General features: G+C 58.0%; 1 protein-coding gene across 1 annotated transcript, besides 12 other annotated features; it reads right to left on the bottom strand.

The window, feature by feature from the left end:
* Window positions 2,363-3,102: an enhancer, noted in NCBI's record as "H3K4me1 hESC enhancer chr7:5655393-5656132 (GRCh37/hg19 assembly coordinates)". NCBI's record gives its function as "activates a minimal SCP1, AML or CMV promoter by ChIP-STARR-seq in primed H9 embryonic stem cells {active_cell/tissue: H9 hESC(primed)}" and the evidence as "EXISTENCE:reporter gene assay evidence [ECO:0000049][PMID:30033119]".
* Window positions 9,863-10,416: an enhancer, noted in NCBI's record as "H3K4me1 hESC enhancer chr7:5648079-5648632 (GRCh37/hg19 assembly coordinates)". NCBI's record gives its function as "activates a minimal SCP1, AML or CMV promoter by ChIP-STARR-seq in naive H9 embryonic stem cells {active_cell/tissue: H9 hESC(naive)}" and the evidence as "EXISTENCE:reporter gene assay evidence [ECO:0000049][PMID:30033119]".
* Window positions 10,992-11,286: an enhancer, noted in NCBI's record as "tiled region #1133; HepG2 Activating non-DNase unmatched - State 18:Pol2, and K562 Activating non-DNase unmatched - State 14:Gen5'". NCBI's record gives its function as "activates a minimal TATA promoter and a strong SV40 promoter by Sharpr-MPRA in HepG2 and K562 cells {active_cell/tissue: HepG2 | K562}" and the evidence as "EXISTENCE:reporter gene assay evidence [ECO:0000049][PMID:27701403]".
* Window positions 12,209-26,048, bottom strand: FSCN1 (fascin actin-bundling protein 1). Its single transcript, NM_003088.4, has 5 exons — window positions 25,096-26,048; window positions 15,451-15,607; window positions 15,247-15,368; window positions 14,834-15,001; window positions 12,209-13,592 (listed from the first exon to the last, which is right to left on the bottom strand). Exons 1-5 carry the CDS (start codon window positions 25,925-25,927, stop codon window positions 13,390-13,392), a joined length of 1,482 nt encoding a protein of 493 aa, NP_003079.1. The 5' UTR covers window positions 25,928-26,048; the 3' UTR covers window positions 12,209-13,389.
* Window positions 14,399-15,251: an enhancer, noted in NCBI's record as "H3K4me1 hESC enhancer chr7:5643244-5644096 (GRCh37/hg19 assembly coordinates)". NCBI's record gives its function as "activates a minimal SCP1, AML or CMV promoter by ChIP-STARR-seq in primed H9 embryonic stem cells {active_cell/tissue: H9 hESC(primed)}" and the evidence as "EXISTENCE:reporter gene assay evidence [ECO:0000049][PMID:30033119]".
* Window positions 15,252-16,105: an enhancer, noted in NCBI's record as "H3K4me1 hESC enhancer chr7:5642390-5643243 (GRCh37/hg19 assembly coordinates)". NCBI's record gives its function as "activates a minimal SCP1, AML or CMV promoter by ChIP-STARR-seq in naive H9 embryonic stem cells {active_cell/tissue: H9 hESC(naive)}" and the evidence as "EXISTENCE:reporter gene assay evidence [ECO:0000049][PMID:30033119]".
* Window positions 21,315-21,530: a silencer, noted in NCBI's record as "fragment chr7:5636965-5637180 (GRCh37/hg19 assembly coordinates)". NCBI's record gives its function as "represses an EF-1alpha promoter that drives an FKBP-Casp9 reporter gene in an ReSE screen in K562 erythroleukemia cells {active_cell/tissue: K562}" and the evidence as "EXISTENCE:reporter gene assay evidence [ECO:0000049][PMID:32094911]".
* Window positions 23,150-23,725: an enhancer, noted in NCBI's record as "H3K27ac hESC enhancer chr7:5634770-5635345 (GRCh37/hg19 assembly coordinates)". NCBI's record gives its function as "activates a minimal SCP1, AML or CMV promoter by ChIP-STARR-seq in naive H9 embryonic stem cells {active_cell/tissue: H9 hESC(naive)}" and the evidence as "EXISTENCE:reporter gene assay evidence [ECO:0000049][PMID:30033119]".
* Window positions 24,100-24,259: a silencer, noted in NCBI's record as "silent region_17928". NCBI's record gives its function as "represses an Ori minimal core promoter by ATAC-STARR-seq in GM12878 lymphoblastoid cells {active_cell/tissue: GM12878}" and the evidence as "EXISTENCE:reporter gene assay evidence [ECO:0000049][PMID:35858748]".
* Window positions 24,303-24,878: an enhancer, noted in NCBI's record as "H3K27ac hESC enhancer chr7:5633617-5634192 (GRCh37/hg19 assembly coordinates)". NCBI's record gives its function as "activates a minimal SCP1, AML or CMV promoter by ChIP-STARR-seq in naive H9 embryonic stem cells {active_cell/tissue: H9 hESC(naive)}" and the evidence as "EXISTENCE:reporter gene assay evidence [ECO:0000049][PMID:30033119]".
* Window positions 24,440-24,529: a silencer, noted in NCBI's record as "silent region_17927". NCBI's record gives its function as "represses an Ori minimal core promoter by ATAC-STARR-seq in GM12878 lymphoblastoid cells {active_cell/tissue: GM12878}" and the evidence as "EXISTENCE:reporter gene assay evidence [ECO:0000049][PMID:35858748]".
* Window positions 24,990-25,069: a silencer, noted in NCBI's record as "silent region_17926". NCBI's record gives its function as "represses an Ori minimal core promoter by ATAC-STARR-seq in GM12878 lymphoblastoid cells {active_cell/tissue: GM12878}" and the evidence as "EXISTENCE:reporter gene assay evidence [ECO:0000049][PMID:35858748]".
* Window positions 25,780-26,339: a silencer, noted in NCBI's record as "silent region_17925". NCBI's record gives its function as "represses an Ori minimal core promoter by ATAC-STARR-seq in GM12878 lymphoblastoid cells {active_cell/tissue: GM12878}" and the evidence as "EXISTENCE:reporter gene assay evidence [ECO:0000049][PMID:35858748]".

The following is a 26,563-nucleotide window of genomic DNA, read 5'->3' as shown; positions in this document are numbered from 1 at the left end:
ATCCTTTTTCCATCCAAAGTGACCAGGGTGGTGGTATTCATCCCACCTTCCCCAGGCGCTGGCCAGCACATTGCAACACACCTGATCAGGACTTGGGGGCCTTTGGTTTTAAAGAAGTTAGTACCTTGCTTTTCTCCCTTAACAGTCACGTACTGGCCTCCAGGTCTATAGCTCTGTCTGCATCCAACTTGTTCTTTTTATGTCTTCCATCATACATTTTTTTTTTTTTTTGAGACAGAGTCTTGCTCTGTTGCCCAGGCTGGAGTGCAGTGGCACAATCTCGGCTCACTGCAACCTCTGCCTCCCAAGTTCAAGCGATCCTCCTGCCTCAGCCTCCCGAGTAGCTGGGATTACAGGCGTGTACCACCACGCCTGGCTAATTTTTTGTACCTTTAGTAGAGACAGGGTTTCACCATGTTGGCGAGGCTGGTCTCAAACTCCTGACCTTGTGATCTGCCCGTCTCGGCCTCCCAAAGTGCTGGGATTACAGGCGTGAGGCACCGTGCCCAGCCAGTTGTATTTTTAGTAGAGACAGGATTTCACCCTGTTGGCCAGGCTGGTCTTGAACTCCTGACTTGAAGTGATCCACTCCTGCCTCGACCTCTCAAAATGCTGGGATTATAGGTGTAAGCCACTGCACCTGGCCTTTTTTCCATCTTTCTGAGATGAGATCTCACTCTGTCTTAGAAAAAGATCTAAGACTGCACTCCCAGGCTATAGTGCAGAGTGCAGTCACGGCTCACTACAACCTCAACCTCCCAGCTCAAGCGATCACACCTCAGCCTCCCAAGTAGCCGGGACTACAGGCGTGGGCCACCATGCCCAGCTAATTTTTGTGTTTTTTGTAAAGAAGGGGACTCAACAGCTGGGCGAGGTGTCTCACTCCTGTAATCCTAGCACTTTGGGAGGTCGAGGCAGGCGCATCACCTGAGGTCAGTATTTCAAGACCAGCCTGGCCAACATGGTGAAACCTTGTCTCTACTAAAGTACAAAAATTAGCTGGGCATGATGGCGGGTGCCTGTAATCCCAGCTACTCGGGAGGCTGAGACAGGAGAATCACTTGAACCCGGGAGACAGTGGTTGCAGTGAGGTGAGATCGCACCACTGCACTCCAGCCTGGGCAGCTAAGCGAGACTCCGTCTCAAAAAAAAAAGGAGGTTCTCACCATGTTACCCAGGCTGGTCTTGAACTCTTGGGCTCAAGCAGTCGGCCCACCCCAACCTCCCAAAGTGCTTGGATTACAGGTGTGAGCCACCTCCTTTATTTTTCCATCCTTAAAAAGTGTCTTTTTTGGCTGGGCGTGGTGGCTCACGTCTATAATTCCAGTATTTTGGAGGTCAAGGCGGGTGGATCACGAGCCCAGGAGTTCAAGACCAGCCTGGCCAAGATGGTGAAACCCCATCTCTACTAAAAATACAAAATGGAGCTGGGCATGGTGGTGGGTGCCTATAATCCCAGCTACTCGGGAGACTGAGGCAGAGAATTGTTTGAACCCGGGAGGTAGAGGTTGCAGTGAGCCGAGATTGCACCACTGCACTCCAGCCTGGGCAACAGAGTGAGACTCCATCTCCAAAAAAAAAGTAATAATAAAAAGTGTCTTTTTTATGGAGGTTGCAGCGAACCAAGATCACGCCATTGCACTCCAACCTGTGTGACAGAGTGAGACTCTGTCTCGAAAAAAAAAAGTATCTTAAAAAATACATTTGCCAGCCAGTCGCGGTGGCTCATGCCTATAATCCCAGCACTTTGGGAGGCCGAGGTGGGCGGATCTCCTGAAGTCAGGAGTTCGAGACCAGCCTGGCCAACATGGTGAAACCCTGTCTCTACAAAAATATAAAAATTACCTGGGTGTGATAGCGGGTGCCTATAGTCCCAGCTACTCGGGAGGCTGAGGCGGGAGAATCAGTTGAACCTGGGAGGCAGAGGTTGCAGTGAGCTGAGATCATGCCACTGCACACTCCAGCCTGGGCAACAGAGTGAGACTCCCTCTAAACACAAAATACATTTACCAATCAAAAGTGTACAAAAAATAGAAAATGTATATGCAAAGTAGGAAAATCTTGAAAACAAAAATATAAAGCAAAAATAGACATGCTTTGTAACCCAAAGATAACTGCTGATCACATCTCAATGTACTTCTGCAAGGTGTGATCTTTTACTGTGATATATACAGTACTCATGAAACTAGTGAACCAGACATGAAGGTTTTCTTTTTTTTTTTTTTTTTGAAACAGAGTCTCACTGTCGCCCAGGCTGGAGTGCAGTGGCACGATCTTGGCTCACTGCAAACTCCGTCTCCCGGGTTCATGCCATCCTCCTGCCTCAGCCTCCCGAGTAGCTGGGACTACAGGCGCCCGCCACCACGCCCAGCTAATTTTTTATATTTTTAGTAGAGATGGGGTTTCACTGTGTTAGCCAGGATGGTCTCGATCTCCTAACCTCATGATCCTCCCACCTCGGCCTCCCAAAGTGCTGGGATTACAGGCGTGAGCCACCGCACCCAGCTGACATGAAGGTTTGCATTCTGCTTTTCCTTTCTGGAGCATTTACAAGACAGGAGCAAGTGCTTCTGAAACAGACTTTTTAATTAGCTCTTTGCCTTTGAGAACCTCTCACAGCACGTTCCATCTGCCTTCTCTTTGAATTTCTTGCAGTCATCTAGGCTGGTGTGAAGCTAACGCAGGCCAGGCCACGAGCTCTGTTCTCAGGACCCCTGCGGGGGGACGTGGTCACTTCTGCAGTCACTGGCTGTGTGTGCCTCTTGGTCAGGATGAAGTCCAATCATCAGTTCCACTCATCGTCGCTTCCTGTCCCTTCGTCTGCACACATGTCTGGAGGAGACGGCCCAGGACCTCTGGCTTTGCTTCTCCCCAGGAGAAGGTGCCAGTTAAACCCGCAGGAGAGGGACTCAGGTGAGCACCAGCTTCTGAGTCAGGTCCCACGCTCCCCATCTTGCTGGGTGTGAGTCACCCAAGGTGGGGTGGTGAGAGCCCTGACAGCAGTATGGCATACCTGGGCCTGGCATTAGCCGTAAAGTGGGAATCGCCGCAGCATCTTCCTCGGGCTGTGAGAACTGGGGAGGGGAGACAGGAAAAGTGCTTGGCCGAGGACGGCAGGGAGGGCAGAGCGGCTGTGATGGTGGTGGTTGCGCCGTCCCACAGAGCTGTGCTGTCCCTTCCCACGTTTCCAGTGATTTCTTGCGGATAAAAGCCTAATCCTTTGACCAGACCAACCTCTCAGGGTCATCTGAGACTGTCAGCCCCACCTGGGACCCCCGGGAGCACCTAGTCCACACCCACACCTGGCAGGTGCCTGCGTGCCCGGCTGCTCACCTGTGCACGTGCCCTGAGTGTAGCTGGGTGCAGACCTGGACGGCGCTGCTCAGCTGGGCAGTCCCGGGGCACTCGGCCCCTAGTAGGTGCCACAGAGAAACCGGCACCAGGTGGCAGGGAACAGGCTGAGTCTGTGGAGGGGACCCACTGGAGTGGCCCAGGAGGCTGGGAAGGCTTCCAGGAGAAGCCCCGCCTGCTGCTCATCCTCATTGCCTGACCCTTGTCCAAGTGCAGACCGCAGGGCCGGGGATGCTGACTGGCCAGTTCCAGGTGTTCCTGAGAACCAGATCTTAAATCAGCTCCTCGGGATGCAGTCACGCGTTGGCCTTGGTGGAGACTTCCCCCACGGCAGGAGTCCTGGAGGACGCTGCCAAATGGCCTCTGGGTGAAAGGGTACAGTTGGGGGTACATCTGAGAGAGGCTCAGAAGACAGTCCAAGGAGACTGGGCACCAATGGGGGTCCACGAACAGGGAGAATCCACAGGGATGGCCAGGCCCTGTCCTGGGAGCTGAAGGAACTGGTCCCAGGGGCAGTTCGGGGCAGGGGTGGGGAGGCCATGGCACCACAGGGTGGGGCTGAGCACGGCCACCCCAGGCAGTGAGGCCCGAAGGCCTGGGAATAGCAGCAGGGAGCGGGTGGGACATAGGGCTGAGCAGGCCAGGCCCCAAGGAGCACGTGCTTTTCTGGACAGGCAGAGGGACAGTGCCCTGTGTTCCAGGACACACAGATGCATGAGGAGGAGGAGGCCAGCCAGCAGCAAGGAGGAGAGCCAGGGCACCGAGCACCGGGAGGCAGCCCTCCCTCCCGCAAGCTCTCAGACCGCCGATGCCCTCAGACCTAGGAGCAGCGCCCGTACCCCGCCAGGCCCCATCTCCTCCCCTCCCTCAAAGCCTCACTTCTCCAGGGTCCAGCCCTGATATCTCTTTCCCAGGCCTTCCAGGAGCTGTCTGCCCTCCTGTCCCCCTGTCGGATCCCCCTGCCCTGTATATTCCCCTAGGTCCCGCTTCTCACCCATCTCAGTCATCTATGGCCACATAAAACCACACCCCAAGGCCAGCACAGTGGCTCACGCCTGTAATCCCAGCACTTTGGGAGGCCAAAGCAGGAGGATCACTTGAGCCCAGGAGTTACAGACCAGCCTGGGCAACCTAGCAAGACCCCCATCTCTATCAAAACAAAAAACAAGCGAGGCATGGTGGTATGCACCTATAGTCCTAGCTACTCAGGAGGCCAAGACACAAGGATCACTTGAGCCTGGGGGGTCAAGGCTGCAGTGAGCTATGATTACACCACTGGACTCTAGCCTGGGTGACAGAGCAAGACCCTGTCTCTAAAAAATAAACCACAGCTCAGCCCACTACTCACAACATCCCTGAGTTGCTATTTTCCACAAGGCTTCCCTTTGCCGAGGCTCAGCCAGGCAGCTGTGCCATATCTGAGGACCCCGGGGTGGCTGCCATCAGCTGCCAGCTGGGGTTTGGCCGAGACCACAACCCCTGCCCATGGGCTCTCAGCCCTCATCGGTCTGGCCCCGGCTTCTCTCCATCACAGTGGTGGCCTTCCTCTCTCCATCACAGTGGTGGCCTTCCAAGAGGCCAGGCATGGACACAAGCACCTCTCCCTCCACATGGTAGCAGCCAAAGCAAACCACAGGCCAGCACAGCTCCAGGCAAGAGATGAGGACAAGCCACCAACCCGGCCTGCTCCAAACGCCAAGCCCTGCTGTGACCCATGTGTGCAGTGTGCAGTCACAGCCCCGCAGGGGTGAGGGGACACTTCAGCCCAGGACGTCTCAGCAGGGAGACAGCTGAGTTGAGACATTCTCAACTCTGAGCTGAGTTCTCTTCTTGCTGAGAACTCTCCTGTCTCTATCTGAATGTGGTGCTCTCTCTCTCTCTCAATCTCTCTCTCTCTCTTTCCATCCTAACTTTATTTCTGGAAAGCTGTGGTAAGAAAATGAGCAGGGCCACGCACAGTGGCTCACGCCTGTAATCCCAGCAGTTTGGGAGGCCAAGGCGGGCAGAGCACAAGGTCAGGAGTTTGAGACCAGCCTGGCCAACATGGTGAAACCCCGTCTCTACTAAAACTACAAAAATAGCCGGGCGTGGTGGCGGGCACCTGTAATGCCAGCTACTCAGGAGGCTGAGGCAAGAGAATTGCTTAAACCCAGGAGGAGGAGGAGGTCGCAGTGAGCCGAGATCATGCCACTGCACTCCAGCCTAGGTGACAGAGCAAGACTCTGTCTCGGAAAAAAAAAAAAAAAAAAAAAAGGAAAAAAAAGAAAAAAAAGTGAGCAGCGCCTAGGATGAGGCCTCTGAGGTGTGCTGCCGGTGGGGTGCCCTGGCCACCATAGGCACAGTCCTTAGTGTGACTTTCACCTTCACAGAGCCCCAGTGAGGATGCACAGGGGTGTAAGGTCAGAAAGGGCCAGTGCTGTGGAAACCTGCCCACAGCCCAAAGGACGGGCACTAGGGGGCCTGAGCTGAAGACCCCCAGCCCAGGTACCCTAGGACTGGTGCCCAAGGGACATCTCAGTCTACCCTCAGTCACTGCCCTGGGATGGCCTTAGGCCCAAGCAGGGCTTTGAAGCCACACCCTCAGAGGATCGGGCAGAGCCTGGAACTAAGTCCAGGAGGCTCCACAGTGGGCAGCAAGCCATGTCTGGGGCTCCCCAGCCTGCCCAACCTCAGAACCGGGGACACTGGCACATCCCACAGACAATTCACTCTTCCCTTCTGATGGGGAGGACAAGGACGAGGACTGTCGGAGCTGGTGGGGGGCAGCAGGAGGCACCAGGCGCTCAGTGCCCCCTCAACCCACCAGTTCTGCTGCATCTGGCTCTGAGGCATGCACAGTCCCTCGGCTCCTTTTTCTCATTGGAGGGACTGACTGTCTTGGGTTAATACCCTGCTTGTGGCATGTTTCCCAGAGTGCCTGCAAAGACCTCCATGCTGCAGTCCCCAGCCACAGTTCAGAGTCTGGGATGCGCTGGCAATGTTTGTTCTAGAAGAAATGTGAGAAATAAACATTAAGGTATCCCTCAGGGTCGGGCATGGTGGCTCACACCTGTAATCCCAGCATTTTGGGAGGCTGAAGCAGGAGGATCACTGAGCCCAGAAGGTGATGGAGACCAGCCTGGGCAACATATCAAGACCCTGTCTACACACAAAAAAGTTAAAAACTAGCCAGGTGTTCTGACATGCACCTGTAGTGCCAGTTACTCCAGGGGCTGAGGCAGGAAGATCACCTGAGCCCAGGAGTTTGAGGTTGCAGTGAGCCTAGATCACCCCATTGTACTCCAGCCTGGGTGACAGAGCAAGACCCCATCTCCAAAAACAAAAATTTTTTTTTGAGACACAGTTTCAGTCTGTCACCCACGCTGGAGTGCAGTGGCTCGATCTTGGTTCACTGAAACCTCTGCCTCCCCAGTTCAAGGGATTCTCCTGCCTCAGCCTCCCAAGTAGCTGGCATTGCAGGAGCATGCCACTGTGCCCGGCTAATTTTTTGTATTTTTAGTAGAGTCAGGGTTTCACCATGTGAGCCAGGCTGGTCTCAAACTCCTGGCCTCAAGTGATCCACCCGCCTCAGCCTCCCAAAGTGTTGGGATTACAGGCGTGAGCCACCACGCCTGGCTGAATAATTTCTTAAAAATATATTTTCTTAGTGTTGCTTTCCTTAGAAGTCTATAAAAAAAAAAAAAAAAAAAAACAAGAGGCCGGGCGCGGTGGCTCACGCCTGTAATCCCAGCACTTCGGGAGGCCGAGGCAGGAGGATCACAAGGTCAGGAGATCGAGACCATCCTGGCTAACATGGTGAAACCCCTGTCTCTACTAAAAATACAAAAAAATAGCCGGGTGTGGTGGTGGGCGCCTGTAGTCCCAGCTACTCGGGAGGCTGAGGCGGGAGAATGGCGTGAACCCGGGAGGTGGAGTTTGCAGTGAGTCACGATCATGCCACTGCACTCCAGCCTGGGCGACAGAGCGAGACTCCGTCTAAAAAAAAAAAAAAAAAAAGGGAGATCGAGACCATCCTGGCGAACACAGTGAAACCCCATCTCTATTAAAAAATAAATACAAAAAATTAGCCGGGCGTGGTGGCTGGAGCCTGTAGTCCCACCCACTCAGGAGGCTGAGGCAGGAGAATGGCGTGAACCCGGGAGGCAGAGCTTGCAAGTGAGCCGAGATTGCGCCACTGCACTCCCGCCTGGGCGACAGAGCAAGACTCCAGCTCAAAAAAAAAAAAAAAAAAAAAAAAAATTAGCCGGGCATGGTGGTGCGCCCCTGTAGTCCCAGCTACTCAGGCGGTTGAGGCAGGAGAATCGTTTTAACCCGGGATGTGGAAGTTGCAGTGAGCCGAGATCACGCTACTGCGCTGCATGGGCGACAGAGCCAGACTCCTTCCCAAAAAAAAAAAAAAAAAAAAAAAAAAAAAAAAAATTCCAGAGGGGTGTAAAAAACCATTAACACAGTTACCTCCAAAGGAAAGAGGGCTGGGGCCGGGTTAGCTGTGGATTTTTGTTTATATCTGTGGGTACCCTTTGATTTTATACCGTATTTATTTATTAGCTTAGTTTCTTCAAATAATATTAGTAAAGCCTTTTAGAGCACTTGCCTGGTGCCTGGCACTATCTGGGGGTTCCCTGGAAGGTGGGTTCCCCCCTTGCTCACCTCCTCCCCTCCTGAGGGTCAGACCTGGGTCCTGGGATGAGGAGGGGAGCACAGTGAAGGCTTCTGTGTTAATTATTTGCACATCACAGAGGCCCCTCCTCCCGGTTTAAGCTAGGGCCCCGTTAAGGGGCTTGGGTTTCACGCCAAATGCCCTGCCCCGCCCCACCCCTCCAGGCCTCTCTGCCTGGGAGACCCCATCTGTTCCCTTCTCCCTCTGCTGCCCCCAAGGGTCTCAGAGCCCCTCCCCCATCCAGACAACCTTGTTGCCCACAGCCCGTTCAGGGAGACCAGGCACCCAGCCAACCATTGCTCAGGGGTCTTCAGGGAAGCCGGGGTCCCAAGGGAGCCGAAATGGGCACTGCCGGGCCCCCTTTCCATCTTCACGCACCTTATGAGCCCCAAAAGCCGTCGTTTGAAAGAAAAGTTTTAGACTTTTTATTTTATTTTATTTATTTTTGAGAGAGAGTCTTGCTCTGCGGCCCAGGCTGGACTGCAGTGGTGGAATCACAGCTCACTGCAGTCTCAACCTTCCAGGATCAAACCATCCTCCCACCTCAGCCTCCTGAGCAGCTGGGACGACAGACACGCACCACCATGCCTGACTAATTTTCGTAGTTTTTACAGAGACAGGAGTCTCACCATGTTGCCCAGGCTGGTCTCAAACTCCTGAGCTCAAGCAGTTCTCCTGCCTCAGCCTCCCAAAGTGCTGGGATTTCAAGCACCAAGTATTTGACTTTTTTAAAAGAGTGAAGTCAAGGCCGGGCATGGTGGCTCATGCCTGTAATCCCAGCACTTTGGGAGGCTAATATGGTGAAGCCCCATCTCTACTAAAAAATACAAAAATTAGTTAGGTGTGGTGGCACGTACCTGTAGTCCCAGCTACTCAGGAGGCTGAGGCAGGAGAATCGCTTGAACGTGGGAGGTGGAGATTGCAGTGAGCCGAGATCACGCCACTGCGCTCCAGCCTGGGCGAGAGTGAGACTCCGTCTCAAAAAAAAAAAAAAAAAAAAAAAGCGACAGAGTGAGAGTCCGTCTCAAAAAAAAAAAAGAGTGAGATCAGCCCCCATCCTCGTGACTGTGGGAGAGGCCACTGTGGCCCTGGAGGAAATGGGGCCCAGCTGGGTCTGGGGCTTCCTGTCCCCTCCCCCACCCCCTGATAATGAATTGGAAGAGGCTGAGCTGGGGCAGAAGGTCTGGAGGGGGGGTGTCCCGTGGAGACACACTGGGAAGCTCAGAGGCCTCGACCACCAGAGGGACTTGCCTGAGTCCTCCTGGGGCTGGTGACAGCTCCACAGCCCCCCGCAGGACTCAGGGTCCCTCCCAATGAGGCCTCCTGAGGAGGTCACAGCAGACAGCAGTGGGGGCACCCAGGGCTGGGACCCTGAGACACCGAGTATGCCCCACTGTCCCCCAGACTGCCCACATGCCTGGACTGGGCAATATAGCTCAGTCTCTCCTTTCTTTCTTTCTTTTTTCTTTTTATTTTATTATTATTATTATTATTATTTGGAGACAGAGTCTCACTCTGTCGCCCAGGCTGGAGTGCAGTGGTGTAATCTCGGCTCACACAACCTCCGCCTCCTGGGTTCAAGCGATTCTCCTGCCCCAGCCTCCCAAGTAGCTGAGATTACAGGCACCCACCACCATGTCTGGCTAATTTTCTTATTTTTAGTAGATTACAGGTGTGAGCCACTGTGCCCGGCCTCTTTTTCCTTTTTTTTTTTTTTTTTTTTTTTTTTTGAGACAGGGTCTTGCTTTGTCACCCAGGCTGGAGTGCAGTGGGTGGTGCCATCATAGCTCACTGCAGCCTCAGCCTCCTGGACTCAAGCAATCCTCACACCTGGGCCTCCTGAGTAGCTGAACTATATAGGCGTTAGCCACTGCTCCCAGCCCAGTCTCTCCTTTCTTTGCTCTAACAAGTTTAATTGAATGTTTTCCCTTAAGTCGTGATCTTTGGGGATCACAGTGAATCCCAACAAGGATCTTGGAGCCCTGGCTGCACTTGCCTTGACTCACTGGGGACTCTCAAGTGGGAGGTGGGACTCTCACTCCCAACCCCATGGCAGGCTTAATGGAGGAGCCACCCTCGGGGTATGGGGTCCCTAGTGGCCCCCGACCCACCTGGGAGAACTGCCGGGAATGGGGGTGCACGGGACAGAGGCTGGTACCCTGAGTGCTGAATCCCTGTAGGCTGGAGACAGATTCCTGGGAGTTGGTCTGCCTGCATCTGTGCGTGTCTGTGTGCACGCCTACATGCACGTGTACCTGCCTGTGCATGGGGCTCTTTGCACAGGTCCATATGTGTGTGTGCGTGCAAGTTCACAAGTGTGTGAGTGCGTGTGATGGGCCACGCCCTTGTGAATGAAGAATCGCTGAGAAAGCGAAGGTGACTCAGGCAGGAGCGGAAACTGCACCCTCTGCCCTGGCTCCCTGCCCCGGCGAGCCCCAGAACCTGTCCTGACAGGAGGGAACTGAAGGTAGGAAAAGGTCAGGAGATGGGGAGCCTGAGCGCCCCAGAGTCTGCCGGTCCGCGCAGTGCCCGCTCCTCCAGAAGACGCTCGTGGCCTCCACGCGAGTCTGGAGAACCGTGGCCTGGCTCCCTCGACCCGCATCTCACCTGGGACCCCAGAGATGCCCCCGGCCCCTGGCCTGGCTTCCCCCCAGAGGGCAGGGCCTGGGCAGGTCCCTCGCCCCGGGTTATTCCCCCGTCCCTTTCAGTTGGGCAGCTCCTACCGATTCCTCCCGAGAGATCTCGTGAACGGCCCTTCCAGCCTCCCCCATCGGACTATGCTGCTCATTGGCTGCAGCCTCGGGAATCTCGGCCACGTGGTAGGCGCCAAATTTTGCAGAATGAATGGAATTCGGAATCAGCTGGTGGCTCCGGGGACCTTAGGGTCATTCTAGGTCAGCTCCATGGGTGGAAATGAGCCAGGCTCCCCCCAATCCCCCTTCCCAGTGCCTCCCACCCTCCTCCCCAGGTCTCAAAGAGTTTGGTTCCGGAGGATTAATCTGTCCCTTCCAGTCACTGGGATTTTTCTGGCTTCCAGCCTGGCTTTCATGGGGGAGGGGAGAGGGGTGGCCGCCGGAACCTCGCTGAGGTGACCCCGACTTCCCTCTGCAGCAGCCACCTGCCCCTGCCAATCTCAAGACTTGCGCCCCACGCCCCCGAGGGACCACCTATCACAGCGCAGCCCTCCCAGTTGCGTCATCAGCAGCCAATCAGCGCTTGCTCTGCTGCCGACGGCGGGGAGGATGCGGGGGAACAGGGGGCTCCGGCCTGCAGTGCCCTGGCTGCCCCCGGGACGCCCCGCGTGTCCCAAATTCCGTCGCCATCACCGCCTTCCCAGCGCACAATGACTGGACGCCAGGTCCCTCCGCTCCAGGCTGCGCCTTACTGCTCCTCCCCTCAGTCTTCTCGCAGCTGCTATCCTTAGGGGCACCTGGGAGTGAATGAAGCTGCACGAGGTCCGCGAGCCTCTGCCCAGCCCCTGTCCCTGCAGCCTAGGATGCAAAGGGAGGCTCAGAACCCAGGTCGCCCTGACTGTGGCCTTGGTAAAGTCTGGAAACAGTCCTCAGCCTCTGATATGCCAGATATCCCCAGGGCTGCTGGTTCCGATGTAGGGACCTGCCCAGGGTCTGCACGCTCGGCCCGGTCCATCCTACCACGGCCGCCCCCTGAGGGGCCCAGGGCAGCATCTCCCAGCCCCAGGGGCACCCCAACCTGCTGTGTCTGGGGAAGTGGAAGGCCCGGATCCTCGCAGTATGGGGGCGGAGCTGCCCCTACCACCAAGTCCCCTAGTCGAAGGGCACATGTCAACTAGAGGATAATGTGGGGTCTCCTGGTTTGAGTGTTCCCTGGGCTGCGCCTTCTCAACATCCAGCGTGCCACCGCCAGACACCCCCGAGGTCCCCCGCATGGTGGACGTAGCCTACGAGGAGCCACAGCCACTTCTCACCACAGAACTCCTCCTAATGGCTCTGGGGGTCGCATGGGCCACAGTCCACCCCCTCCCAGCGCTCCATCCCCCGCTTAAGGAGGTGTGCTGGGCCCACGAGCTCCGGAGCACCCACTGGAGCCACGGCCTCCCTCCCACTGCACACTCCCAGCACTGAGCTGGGGAGCCAGGGCGCCTACCTGTCCCGCCAGCCCTCCCACCCACCTCAGCCCCCCCACCCACCTCAGCCCCAAGACACACACAGGCCGGCCTGGGGCTGCAGACTGAGTTATTTTATTTCGCTATTTCCAGTTTGAAGCTACTATCATGGGCGTTTAGAGTTATACAAATGACACTTACAAAAAATAAAAGACCAAGACACCCAGAGTGAGATGCATGTTGGGGACGGGGGAGGCTGGCAGCAGGGGGGCCCCGGCGGCTCACCCCAGGGCTCCCGGAGGGGGCGACGCCTGGCTTCATCCACCCGGGAGGCCCAGGGAGCACCAATCACAGCAGGGGCTCTGGCCCAGGTGTCGGCAGCCCAGGCCCAGGGCTGGGGCTGGACGGGAAGGACGGAAAGAGGGGGCTGAGATGCACCCCCTGGGGAGGGTGCTGAGACGCCCCCCGCCAGATCACTCGCTACTACAGCCAGGCTTGCCTGGGACGCCTCCAGCAATAATATTTCATTAAAAAAAATACTGATTTGGTCATTTTCTGCTTCCAGTCAGGCTAGGGTGAAAGGAAAGAGACAGGAGGAAGACGGCCCCCACACCCCTACCCGCCCGCCACCACCACCTTGGCAGAACGTGCAGCGGGCAGACCCTGTGGCCGTCACGCCCTGCCGCTCCAGGGAAGGGAGCCAGGCTGAGCCTCTGCCACGTGGGAGAGGGGCTGTTTCCAGCCACCACCCAAAAAAACACCACAAGGGTCAGTCCTAGCCCACCCGACAGCTTCCCTTCCCAAGCAGGGGTTTCGGGGACAGTGCACCAGGGAGGGCCACTGACAGGCTTGGGACATGTGCCCAGCTCTCCTGGGGGGCTGGGAGGAGGTGGCTGGGAGAGGCAAAAGATTCCAGTTACACTACACGCCCAGGGCTCCCAGCCCCCAACCGTCCCTTAGCCGCTTCCAGAGAAATAAGGCTCAGAGCCGTCTGAGGTCAGAAGAAAGAGGTGCCAGACTCGCCCCGTGGCAGACAAGAGGGCAGGGGCATCTGAAATCCCTCCCAGGGCCAGGCCGCAGCCGCTGACCCGAGGGGAGTAGGGAACCCGGGCGGAGGGGAGAGTGGGGAGTCCATAGGGGCGACAGGTGGGGGCACCGTTTTCTCTGGGGTTTCCAGTTTGAAAGGCAAGGGGGCTTGCCTCCCGCCCTGGAGCCCACCTGGCGGAGAAGGGGTTAGCAGGGAGGGTTGGCAGGAGCCGCCATGTGGGCAGGGGCGGGGAAGGACGGGCCGGCCCTAGTACTCCCAGAGCGAGGCGGGGTCCACGGTTTCCGCCGAGGCCTTCAGGACGCCTGCGTGGTCGCCCTTCAGGTAGCGCCCGCCCACCTTGATGGCCACCTTGTTATAGTCGCAGAACTCGAAGAAGAAGTCCACAGGAGTGTCGCCGCTGCTGGTGACCGCGGAGTCACTGCCCACCGTCCAGTATTTGCCTGTGGAGTCTGGGGAGGGGACTTTATCAAGTGGGGCCCAAAGCCTGGCTCCCCACCCCTACCCTGGGCAGCGGAGGGTGGGCACGGGTGTTCCCAAGGGTGACGCCCCACCCTCCAGTCCCGGCTCCGGAATGAGCCAGGGTCCCTATGGCCCGCACGTCCTCCTGTCCATGATGGACACATGAACAAGGGTCCTAGAACGTGTTCTGCTCGGCCGCAGTGGCTCACGCCTGTAATCCCAGCACTTTGGGAGGCTGAGGTGGGCGGATCACTTGAGGTCAGGAGTTCGAGCCAGCCTTGCCAACATAGTGAAGCTCCGTCTCTACTAAAAATACAAAACAATTAGCCGGGTGTGGTGGCTCACACCTATAAACCCAGCACTGTGGGAGGCTGAGGTGGGCGGATCACTTGAGGCCACGAATTCAAGACCAGCCTGGACAACATGGTGAAACCCGTCTCTATGAAAAATACAAAAAAATTAGCCAGGCATGGTGGCTCCCACACATAGTCCCAGCTACTCGGGAGGCTGAGGCAGGAGAATCGCTTGAACCCAGGAGGCAGAGGTTGCAGAGAGCCGAGATAACGCCACTGCACTCCAGACTGGGTCTCAAAATAAATAAATAATAAATTTTAAAAATATAAAAATTAGCCAGGCGTGGTGGTGCACACCTGTAATCCCAGCTACTTGGGAGGCTGAGGCAGGAGAATCACTTGAACCCAGGAGGCAGAGGTTGCAGTGAGCCGAGATAACGCCACTGCAGTCCAGCCAGGGTGAGGGAGTGAGTCTCAAAAAAACAAACAAAAAAACCATGTTCTGAATCCTAACAGGCACCTCTGGATTGTTGGGGGTCCTCCTGGGAAGGGGCTCCAGTCCCATAACCGAGGCGCGTCCTCCCCTGCACACCCTTTCCAGAACCTCCCCACCCCTGCTCTCCTCTCCTTCCCGGCTCTCCCCTCCCCTGCTCTCCTCCCTCCCCTTCCCTGCTCTCCTTCCCCTCCCTGCTCTCCCCTCCACACACCTCTCTGTCAGGTGGGCAAGGTAAGTCCCCCCAACCACACAGACAAGAGGGAAAGGGGCTGCTTGCATCCCAGAGCCCCTGGTGGCCATCAGACACCTGTCCCTTTAGGGCCTGGAATGGCCCTGAGCCAAGCCAGGGTCCAGTGTGGATGCAGAGGGCGCTCCCCGCAGCACTGACCCCAGCCCCGACCGAGGGGTTCCCTGCCCAGCAGCTGCCCACAGGAGAACCTGCCTTTGATGTTGTAGGCGCCATCGTTGAACTCCAGCTGGAAGACGTCATAGCTGGAGCGGTTGGCGTCCAGGGTGCCCGTGACCTTGCGGCAGCCGATGAAGCCATGCTCCCCGCGGAACACGATGATGGGGCGGTTGATGAGCTTCATGAGGAAGAGCTCTGAGTCCCCTGTCCCAGAAAGAGGGGAGTCAGTGAGCCTCCTGGCAGGGAGTGGGGTGGAGGCTGGGGTGACCAGAGAGGGAGGGCCAGGAGCTGGGGTCACACAGCAGTCCCCAGGGTAGGACAGTGCGGGGCCAGTCCGGGGGGATGCCCAGCACAGAGCAGGCCTTGGCTGGGGCTACCAAGTGACCACGGCATGGCCAGACCCTCCAGGACTCCAGGACGGCTCCAGGGAACTGGGGCTTTAGTGTTACCTGCTGTCTCCACCGAGGCGGCCAGCTGCCCATTCTTCTTGGAGGTCACAAACTTGCCATTGGACGCCCTCAGTGTGATGCGCCGGTCACGCCACTCGATGTCAAAGTAGCAGCTGGCATTCCTGGGGGATGGCGGGACAGGGTCAGGCGGGGTAGCCCAGGCAAGGTGGTGGGGGCGGTGACAGGTGGGAGCGAGGCACTCACTTGCTGGAGGCGGTGGACTGCACGCCCCCGGTGGCCGTCAGCGTCCAGTACTTGCCCGTGTGGGTACGGAAGGCACACTTTTTGGTGTCGCGGTCGATCTCCAGCTGGAAGGTCTCCTGGTCGGTCTCCTCGTCCTGATTGGCAGACAGGTCCATACCTGCAGAGAGGAGGCCTTGGGCTGGTACTGGGGCCCCACGCCCCCTAGTTCTGGCAGACCATAGCCCTGAGCTCACAGAACTACACACGCAAGGTAACACCACGGGGTGGGGTGGGCGGCCGAGTCCCCACAGTGGCACACATGAGAAGCAGCAGAGAGCACCCAGGAACGCAGGCAGGGCCGGTCAGAGGCCAAGGCAAGCTACATCTGTTCCCACATGACTTTCCCCAGTTAGAGAAATAATAGGGGCCAGGGACAGGGGCTCATGCCTGTGATCGCAACACTTTGGGAGGCCAAGGCAGGAGGATTGTTTGAGTCTAGGAGTTTGAGACCAGCCTGGGCAACATAGCAAGACCCCCACCCCACCCCCGTCTCTACAAATTACTTTTTTTAATTAGCTGGGAGTGGTGGTGCAAACCTGTGGTCCCAGCTACTTGGGAGGCTGAGGCAGGAGGATCGCTGAGGCAGGAGGCTGAGGCTGCAGTGAGCCGTGATTGCACCACTGCACTCCAGCCTGGGTGACACAGTGAGACCCTGTCTCAAAAAAAACAAAAAGAATCAAGAAACCAACTGCACAAAAGACATTCTTGAGCCAATCAGGAGGGTCTTAACGTGGCCCAGAATTAGATGTTAAGCATTGATTACTGTTGATCACGTTGTGGTTACATAAGAAAATGGCCTCGTTTTTTTAGAAACACAGATGGAAGTATTTTGGGATGAAATGCCCTGATGTCAGGGATTTGCTTCAAATACAACCAAAAATGGTATAGAAAAGGACAAATGGGGCTGCAGCACAGCGGAACAGCGCATCTTGGGGGGCCGTGTCTGGGGGTTCATGCTATTGTTCCTGCTTCTATGTAAAAATTAAAATAAAACACGATGGTACATGTTCCTTTCCTTTAGAAAACTTATAAAAGGGCCGGGTGCGGTGGCTCATATCTCCTGCAATCCCAGCCTTTTGGGAGGCCAAGTCAGGAGGATCATTTGAGACCAGGAGTTCAAGACCAGCCTGGACAACTTAGCAAGACCCTACTTAAAAAAAAAAAAAAGGGGCCAGGCACAGTGGCTCACACCTGTAATCCCAGCAGTTTGGGAGGCCAAGGCAGGCAGATCACCCGAGGTCGGGAGTTTGAGACCAGCCTGACCAACATGGAGTCACCCCGTCTCTACTAAAAATACAAAATTGCCTGAGGCTGAGGCAGGAGAATCACTTCAACCTGGGAGGCGGAGATGGCAGTGAGCCGAGATCACTCCAGCCTGGGCAACAAGAATGAAATTCCGCCTCAAAAAAAAAAAAAAAATTTTTTTTTAAGCCCTGTCTCTAAAACAAAAAAAAGGAAACTATGAAGTCCTACACGTCCCCTTCCCACCCCACTGCAGAACACCCCTGTGTTGGCAAATACATCTCTTTCTTTTTGATTCAGGGTCTTGCTCTGTTGCCCAGGTTGGAGTGCAGTGGCACAATCATAGCTCACTGTAGCCTCGACTTCCTGGGCTCAAGTGATCCTCCCACCTCAGCCTCCCAAATAGCTGAGACTACAGGCACACACCACCACATCAAGTTAATTTTTTTTTCTATTTGGTACAGACAGGGTCTGGCTATGTTGCCTAGGATGGTCTTGAACTCCCGGCCTCACATGATCCTCCTAACTCAGCCTCCCAAAGTGCTGAGGTTACAGACACAAGCCACCATGTGCCCAGCCAGTGAACCCACAACTTTCTAGCTGTTTTTTTCTTATACATAAGAAGCATGCGGGTTGCCACGGCGGCTCACGCCTGTAATCCCAGCACTTTGGGAAGCTGAGGCGGGTGGATCACCTGAGGTCATGAGTTCAAGACCAGCCTTGCCAACATGGTGAAACCCCGCCTCTACTAAAAATACAAAAATTAGCTGGGCATGGTGGGGCATGCCTGTAATCCCAGCTACTTGGAAGTCTGAGGCAGGAGAATCACTTGAACCTGGGAGGCAGAGGTTGCAGTGAGCTGAGATTGCACCACTGCACTCCAGCCTGGGCGACAGAGCAAGAATCCATCTCAAAAAAAAAAAAAAAAAAAAAAAGGAAGAAAGAAAGAAACATGCACAGATGTCCTCTGTCTCTGGATTTGCATACTGTTTTCTGTATGGCATCTTTACATGATTCCATGTCCCTAAAAAGTAGAATGGGACTGGCCGGGCACAGTGGCCCACACCTGTAATCCCAGCACTTTGGGAGGCCGAGGCGGGCGGATCATGAGGTCAGGAGTTTGAGACCAGCCTGGCCAACATGGTGAAACCTCATCTCTACTAAAAATACAAAAAAAAGGACCAGGCAAGGTGGCTCATGCCTGTAATCCCAGCACTTTGGGAGGCCGAGGCAGGCGGATCACGAGGTCAGGAGATCGAGATCATCCTAACACGGTGAAACCCGTCTCTATTAATAATACAAAAAAAAAAAATTAGCCGGGCACGGTGGCGGGCGCCTGTAGTCCCTGCTACTCGGGAGGCTGAGGCAGGAGAATGGCGTGAACCCGGGAGGTGGAGCTTGCAGTGAGCCAAGATCGCGCCACTGCACTCCAGCCTGGGCGACAATGCGAGACTCTGTCTCAAAAAAAAAAAAATTAGCTGGGGGTGGTGCCGGGCGCCTGTAATCCCAGCTGCTCGGGAGGCTGACGCAGGAGAATTGCTTGAACCCAGGAGGCGGAGGCTGCAGTGAGCTGAGATCCGCCACTGCACTCCAGCCTGGGCGACAGAGCAAGACTCTGTCTCAGAATAGGACCCCAGGGATCTCTATCTTCGGGAAACTTAAGGTGGCTTTCGGGTTTTGCTCCCCTAAGCTATAGCAAAGCTGCTATTCTTTTTTTGAGAAAGAGAGTCTCGCTGTGTCTCCCGGGCTGGAGTGCAATGGCACGATCTCGCCTCACTGAAACCTCTGCCTCCTGGGTTCAAGTGATTCTCCTGCCTCAGCCTCCTGAGTAGCTGGGATTACAGGCACCCGCCACTATGCCCGGCTAATTTTTTTGTATTTTTAGTAGAGACGGAGTTTCATTATGTTGGCCAGGCCGGTCTCAAACTCCTGACCTCAGGTGATCCACCCACCTCAGCCTCCCAAAGTGCTGGGATTACAGGTATGAGCCACTGCGCCCAGCCCACAATTGCTATTCATTATAACTACATTGCTTTGCATATCCACATGGATTCCTCCAGCTAAAACCTGGAGGTGGGATGTTTGGCTCCAGCAGCACAAATTCACATTCCCCACGCGCTCTGGATTCTAAGAACTGCAGCAGCAGAGGCGTCTGCCGGGCTCTGTATGGGTGCCTGGCTCAGAGCTGGAGAGTGTCTTCGTTTGGGCACCTTGATGCTGCAGGGACCTCAGCGGTGGGTGGCAGGCAGCACCCACAGGAGAGGGAGGCTGGTGGGTGGTAGAGCCCACACCCAGAGGACACATCCTCAATTCCATTTTTTTTTTAGAGATAGGGTCTTGCTCTGTTGCCCAGGCTGGAGTGCAAGTGGCCCAAGCATGGCTCTCTACAGCCTCCACCTCCTGGGCTCAAAGGATCCTCTTGCCTCAGTCTCCCCAGTAGGTGGGACCACAGGCACTCACCACTACACCTGGCTAACTTTAACATTATTTTGTAGAGATGGGGGTGGTCTCGCTATGTTGCCCAAACTCCAGGACTCAAGCAGTCCTCCCACCTTTGCCTCCCAAAGTGCTGGGATTACAGGGGTAAGCCACCACGCCCGGCCTCCCCATCCTGTTCCATCCTGACCCAACCATGCAGCCCCACATCTGCTCCACAGGTGGGGATCTTCATCCTACTTCACAAAGAGGGAGACTAAGGCCGGTGGTGGCATGTCCTTGCCTAAGGTCACACAGCAAGAGAAAGTAAGGGTCTGGCTGGCTCTCTGGACCGGAGGTGGGTGGCCCTCTTGCCACGCCCTTTCCCTGCCCCACCCTCTTGTCTATGGGTTCCTGGCCCCGCCCCTTCTTGGAACCCCTTGGGCTCCACCCCCCAGGTTCCCTGGGGCCCCTTAAGCCGGTAGCCCACCCTCTGCCCTCCGACGAGCATCCACCGCACTGGGTGGGCTGGCTCAGCCACCACACCCCAGCCAAGCACGGGAGGAGGATAAGGTGAGCAGGGGCTGGGTCCCAGGGTGCCGGGACCATCCTAAGGCCACACCCCAGGGAACACGAGGGCTGGGGCCTCTGCTCACTCAGCCCTCCACCAGCCAAGAGGCCCTGCAAAGGTCTGGCCCGCCCCACCCCCACTGCACAGAAGCCGCAGGGCTGCAGGGAGCCGTCAGGCCAGCCACACCCGCACAGCTGCCCTCACCGCCCCCTCATTCTGCTCAGAAGGGCCTGCATGTCTACCTACAGGCAGGGGCCGCACCCTGGGCCCTGGCCTGTGCCGGCCACAGAGCACCACCTGTCCAATGCGCTGGGGCTCCGCTGAAGCCCCGCTGATCGGAGGGAAGTTAGGGACCAGGTAAGAGGACAGCCTCCTGCAGGCCCACCCCAGCAGCAGAAAGGATGGAGGGAGAGGTTCTAGGTCCACCCCAGCAGCAGGAAAAAACAGAGGGCATCAGGGGCTCCAGGTTCCCCAGAAAGAGGGGCAAAAGGAGAAGGGGAGACAGTGGAACAGAAACCACATTAGCACAGCCTCGTCCTAGGGTTTACAGGGCTCGTCCTCACACAGCCTTGCAAATAAGCAGGGCGCTTACCAGCCCGCCTGGAACAAATGCAGGAAGCCGGGAGGCTCCTTCTCAATGAGACTTCCAATGGCTGCGCAGGGCTTAACTGGCGGCAGCCACGGGGCCACGTGTGAATGCACGTCGGCCTTAATCCTCCTGGCAACTCCATGAAATTTACACTAACCTCATCCCCCAAGCCAGAGAAGAAAGGGAGCTTCCCAGCCATTCCTGGGCCCAGGGCCACACAACTGCCGCCATCTGTACCACGACTCAGTCCCCATCAGCCTGTTGCGTTCAATCCTGGAACTGGTTTGATGCAAAGGTTTAGGCCAGCCAGTGAGGCACCCACCGCGGGGGGCCAGGCACCCTTGGATGAGTGCCTTCCCTGCAACCTTCCTCAGTTTCCCCACCTGTCAAAAGGGCCCAGCCTCTCCGCTCCGCCAGGATGTTGAAAGGATTTAGGGGCCTGGTGCCACGTAGACATCAGGCCACACCCCAGCAGGGAGGGATAGGGGAAAGGGGTGTCGTCCCCCCAGTAGAGCAGGGCCCCTCCTGGCTCCAAGGCCCTCGCTTGGCCTTGGAGTCTCTAATTAGAGCTGTGTTACTATGGGAACAGTGTTTTCTTCAGGATTTTTCTTTTCATCAACAGAGGCACAGAAATCCTGAGTCACAGGCCCACAGAAGCCCCCGGGAGCCAGGAGATTAAGAGTCTCCTGTGCCGGGCCCACGGGTACCTCTCCCTCCTCCTTCCAGAGAGGTCTAGCCCTGCCTGTCCTCCCCTCACAGTGGCCTTCCCTGTTTCCAGCCTTTGAGCCATCCTCTCTTTTTTTTTTTTTTAACTTTTTTCTTTTAATTATTTTAATTACAGTTTTTTGTTTGTTTGTTTTGGTTGTTTTTTTTGTTTTGTTTTGTTTTTTGAGATGGAGTTTCACTCTTGTTGCCCAGGCTGGAGTGCAATGGTGCGATCTCGGCTCACTGCAACTTCCGCCTCCCGGGTTCAAGGGATTCTCCTGCCTCAGCCTCCAGAGTAGCTGGGATTACAGGCATGCGCCACCACGCCCGGCTAATTTTTGTGTTTTTAGTAGAGATGGGGTTTCTCCATGTTGGTCAGACTGGTCTCAAACTCCCGACCTCCAGGTGATCCACCCACCTTGGACTCCCAAAGTGCTGGCATTACAGGCGTGAGCCACCGCACCAGGCCAAAAAAAATTTTTTTAAGACAGGGTCTCGTTCTGTTGCCCAGGCTGGAGTGCAGTGGCACGATCTCGGCTCACTGCAGCCTCAAACTCCCCGGCTCAAGTGATCCTCCCATCTAAGCCTCCTGAGTAGCTGGGACGACAGGCGTGCATCACCATGCCTGGCTAATTTTTTGTATTTTTTGTAGACAGAGGTTTTGCCATGTTTTCCAGGCTGGCCTTGAACTCCTGGGCTGAAGCCATCTTCCCTCCTTGGCCGAAGCCATCTTCCCTCCTTGGCCTCCCAAAGTGCTTGGATTACAGGCGAGAGCCAGTGTGCCTGGCCTTCTGAACCATTCTGTCTGTGGTGGCTCAGAGGGGCACCCCCTGGTTGCCTCACACCCTCCAGTCCCCATCACCACCCCCAGGCCTTAACGGTCCCCAGATGCCCCTGGCTTGTTCAAAACAGGCACTCCTTCCATCTCATTTAGGGGAGGGGGCCTGGAATGTTCTATGGCTTCACCTTACCACCCCGGTTTCCAGTCGATTCCTGCAACTACTTGGCCATTTCAAATGCCTCTGCATCCTTATACAAGCCATTCCCTGGGCTCAGAATGCCCTGCGCCTCGTGGGGAGAACTCTTACACATCCTGCAAAGCCCAGCTTGACGAGCCCTTCCTCAGTCAGCCCTCCTCAGAGTGGCTGGGAGAGGGCATGTCCCAAGCCAGCAGGGAGGACAGGTCCTATCCCTGGCATGGATCCCCAGATGCAAGCACAGGCTGGCGGGAGAGGACTCCCAGATGTGAGAGATGTGAGAGAAGACAGGAAGTGTGGTGAGGCATGGCCCAGGGTCGGGGCCAGGGTAGGTGTGGATCCTGGGGAGCAGGGAGGAGCCTGGGGCATGGCGGGAGGACAAAGGAGCACTCACTCAGCTGACCCAGCCTCTGGTGTGAAGGGCTGAAAGCCCCTGCCCAGGGCAGCTCTGGGCCAGCCCAAGGAGGCCTGGAATGCACACTTTACAGATGGGGAAACTGAGGCTGAAGAGCAGGGCGCAGCGTTTTTCAAAGGGGAGCACCCTGCCCCCACCGGGCCCGCCCGTGCAGGCCTGCAGAGATGATTCACATCCCCCCTGCCAGCTAAGTCCGGATCCTCCCCTTCCTGGCTGGCGTTCCCCAGCATGTGTGTCGGAAGCAGACGCCTCCCCCTTGCCACGCAGGCCCGTCCAAAATGGCCTCTGCAGACACGCCCCCCACGCCCACCCCTGCAGACTCCAGTTCCCAAAAGCCCCCCGGGAGTTGGCTGACATAGAAACGAGATAAGGACCCCAAGATCTGAGGCCAGAGGAGCCCCAACCTCGGCCCCCAAGTACCCCCACCCCCGCGCCGTCCCACATCCCTTTCAACTCCAAGCTGAGCCATCACCACCACCTCTCCTGGCTGCAATTTCTGGTTCCTCCCACCCTATCAGCCTGAATCACACACCAGACGCCCCCAGCAAGCTTCTCAGGAGAGGGGAGTTATCTGCCCAGGCTCGCCAAAAACACCCTCAGGCTCTCTGCAACTTCCTGGCCCCCAGGGCCAAGGCCACCTACTTCTGCGACTTCTTCCCCACGGGAGGCTGTGGCTGCAACCCCAAGGCAAGGACCATAGCCCTGCACTAAGCTCTCACCCAAGGTCCCGTGGCCCAGACCTCACAAGCTTCCTCCCAGCCACACTGGGCTTTCTCTGTACCTTCCTGCCATAAGACCTTTGCACAGGAGACACCCACAGCCTACAACGCTGGTCCACACAGCACCCCCCCCATACCTGCCACCTTCTATTCATCCTTCAGGCCAGCTCAAATGTCCTGCTCAGAAAGGACTCAGCCATCTAATAACCTGTACCCGCTGCCTTTTCCTTGACACTTCGTAATGTCCCCAAGAGAACGTGAACCCCACTGGTTCACTCATGGCTCAGCAGGTCCCCTTAGTAGGGCTCAATGCCTGCTGATCAGGTGAGGAGCTCTGCCCGCCATGCGCTGTGGGAAACAGGAAACGGGGTTTCTGGAGCCAAATGCACCCACTTCTGCATGCTGCTTCCTTGTGGTCACTTGCTGTGTGACCCATGACAAGCAGCTTCACCTCTCTGGGACTTAAGGTAGCAAACTTCAGGCACAAAATGGCCATTACCCCACCCAGGCCTCCACCCTCACCCCCACTGCCATGGGGGGTCTTTCCCCCTCCTGCAGAGCCCACAGCCAAGAGGGGGGCCGTCAGGAGGGCTCCTTCCAAGAGGAGGGATGAGGACACAAACTGGGCTCCCGTCCAGCCATCTCCAAGGCCTGGGGTCCGACTTCCTATCCAGGGAAAAAGATCCCCCCACGCCCCTCCCTCCAGCGGGGCCTCTGTCTGCAAGCAAGGAACAGCTTCTCCGCCAGGAGTGGAAGAGGACGCCAAAAGGAAGAGAAAGCCCCTCGGGGAGAATCTGAGAAAGAAGGGAAAGAGTGGCGCACAGGCCGGTCGCAAATAGCCGTGCCTGCAGGAGGCCCCGGAGGGGACGGATCGAGTTGCAGTCAATTGTTCCCGGCGAGCGCCCTAGGGGATGGGTTCACCAGAGGGTAGGGGCTTCCCGAGGGAGCTGGCCTGGGGTCTCCCGGCTCGCGCTGAAGCCGCCCTCGGTCGCCCGCGGAGCGGAGCTCAGCGCACCGGCCTGGAGACGCGCGCGGCGGGCGAAGGGCGGGGTGCCTGGAGGGCCGCCATCCGCGCCACGCCGTTCCCGGGCCGCGGCGCGAGGAGGGAGACCGCCTCCTGGGGAACCTCGGGACCCGAGCCCTGGGCCCGGGGGCGGCGCGGGGGGCTCCTCTGCAGGGGTGAACCGCAAAAGCCGATCCCCTCCCCCGCCCCGCCGCATCTGGTTTTCCCATCTGCAGAGATGGAGCAGGACAAAGGGGGCGAGGGAGGACCCAGTCGAGGCGACCCGCCCCCCTGCTCACAAAGGCCGCGGCCTCGAGCGCGGGGCAGACGCGGGAGGAGGGGCTGGGGGGAAGGGCTGACACCCCGCGCCCCCCCCCACCAGCGGAGGCCGACCCCGCCCGGCAGCGGGAGGAGGTGGAGGAAGGCCGGGCAGACGGGGAGGTGGAGGCGCGCCCCGCCGGGATCAAAGGCCTGGCTAACCTCCCCCATCTCGCCCGCGAAAGGCTGCCGGTGGGGGTGGAGGCGCGCCCTTGCGGGTGGCGACCCTTGCCTCGGACCCCCGAGCTCCAGGACAGCCGGCGGGGGGAGGGGCACGAGGAAATGGGTGAGGGGCTCCCACTCCGCAAGAGCTGGGACAGCTGATCCGAGGGATCAGCGCGCGTGGGGAGAGCCAAGATTGGGCGGGGGGGGGGGTTAGGAGGGTGCACGTACGGTTGCGACTCCGCGGGGCCTAGGGGAGCCCATGATCCCAGCCCGGGGTGGGAGGTGGGCAGCGGCACCCGAGGATGGGCAAAGCCCCACTCCTCGCCCCCTCCAGGCGGGGTAGCCCGCGTGCCTAGCGGGGGCGCAATGGGCAGTGCTCCGGACCGCAGCGGCGCCGCGAGCGAGAAAGGGCGGGAGGCTGGAGGGGCGCGGGTGGGGTGCGCTTTGTGCACGGACCAGGAGAGGCGGGGGCAGCGTCCCCACTCACCCTGGCGCGTGGACACGTTCCTCTCGTTGGCCGCCTGCAGCACGACCTGGGCGCAGCTCTGCTCCAGAGCAAAGAGCTCGTCCTTGCCCACCTTGGTGGCCTTGCCCGCCTTGAGCGTGCCGCTGGGCCCCGACGGCGCCAGGTAACGGCCCTCGCAGTCGCGGAAGGCCACCTTGCCGGAGCGGAACTCCAGCGTGTAGCCAGTGGCCGGCTCGGGGCGCGCCACCAGGCGCCCGTCGTGGCGCAGGAAGCGGTGGTCGGCGGTCTGCACGCTGTAGCGCTGGTCCTGGAAGGCGAGGGTGATGAGCGAGTCGACGCCCCAGGGCACGTCGCGGTCCACGGCGATCTCGTCGGCCGGCCGCGCGCTCAGGTGCGCGTAGCGCTTACGGGTGACGCTGTAGATGTTGACCTGAGGGTGCATGGCGATGTGCACGCTCCACTTCTCGGCGGGGGACACCGTCTGCGCGAAGCAGGACAGGCGGTCCTCGGTGCCGCCGAAGTAGCGCCGGTGCGCCTCGGACTGCAGCGACCAGCGACCGTCGTCGTGCGCCACGATGAGGAAACGGCAGTCGGGACCGGGCACCTCGCGCTCGCAGGTCACGTTGCCGTCCTTGTCCGCCGCCAGGTAGCGGCCCAGGTGGCTGCGCAGGCACACGGCCGCGCTGCCCGCCTCGTCAGGGGGCTGCTCCAGCGTCCAGATCTGCTTCTTCTTCAGGCTGCTGGCGGACGCGTTCACCTTGAACCCGAACGCCTCGGCCGTCAGGTACTTGTTGCCGCAGTTGATGAGGCCGAACTGGATCTGCACCGCCTCGGCTGTGCCGTTGGCGGTCATGGTGGCAGTAGACGAGAGGCCGCTGCGCGGCCCCGGGAGGTGGGTGGCGGGTCCCTGCGGCGGCGCCCCTGCTCCTTTGTTCGGCTGCCGCGGCCCGCACGCACCCTCCGCAGCGCTCCACAAAGCCCAGCTAGCGGCGCCCCGGACATTTTATAGGCGAGGTGACGTCAGCGCCACCAGGCCACGCCCCCCTGTCCCGCCCCTGGCTCCGCGCGGGAGGGGCCCCGGGCCGAGGGACCCGGCGCTGCGGCCCCCGCTGCTGCCCCGCCGGTGCTCTCACCCCACCGGTGTCCTCGCCGCACCCCGCAGCGCCGCCGCCTGAGGACATCACCCCTCACAACCCCGGCTCCCCGCGCCAGCCACCTAACCCCCCCGGATGTCCCCCACCTCGGACACCCCGACCCCAAGCCTCGCTAGGAGCAAGGACGAGCGAGGTTTGAGGTCACGATGGAGACTTCAGAGACCACGGTGCAGATCGGTACTGGGCGAAGGTGGGGGTCTGAGGGCTGCCTGGAGGAGGTGGCCTTGGAGCACATAGCCTTACAGAAGCCCAGAGGCAGACGAGGGAAAGAGGCTGGGAGCTGACAGCGCGGTGGGGACCCGGTGAGGCCAGGACCTGGGACCCACAGACCCCAA

The sequence above is a fragment of the Homo sapiens genome, chromosome 7 (genome assembly GCF_000001405.40).
Source record: "Homo sapiens chromosome 7, GRCh38.p14 Primary Assembly".
Classification (NCBI taxonomy): Eukaryota; Metazoa; Chordata; class Mammalia; order Primates; family Hominidae; genus Homo; species Homo sapiens.
This window is presented reverse-complemented; position numbering and strand designations above follow the sequence as displayed.

Excerpts from the sequence above, each read along its gene's own strand:
- FSCN1 (NM_003088.4), bottom strand. The coding sequence starts at position 25,927 with ATGACCGCCAACGGCACAGCCGAGGCGGTGCAGATCCAGTTCGGCCTC. Across the intron at positions 15,369-15,450 it reads CAGTCCACCGCCTCCAGCAA|GAATGCCAGCTGCTACTTTG; the intron begins GTGAGTGCCTCG and ends GCCATCCCCCAG. Across the intron at positions 13,593-14,833 it reads TGGCGCCTACAACATCAAAG|ACTCCACAGGCAAATACTGG; the intron begins GCAGGTTCTCCT and ends TCCCCTCCCCAG.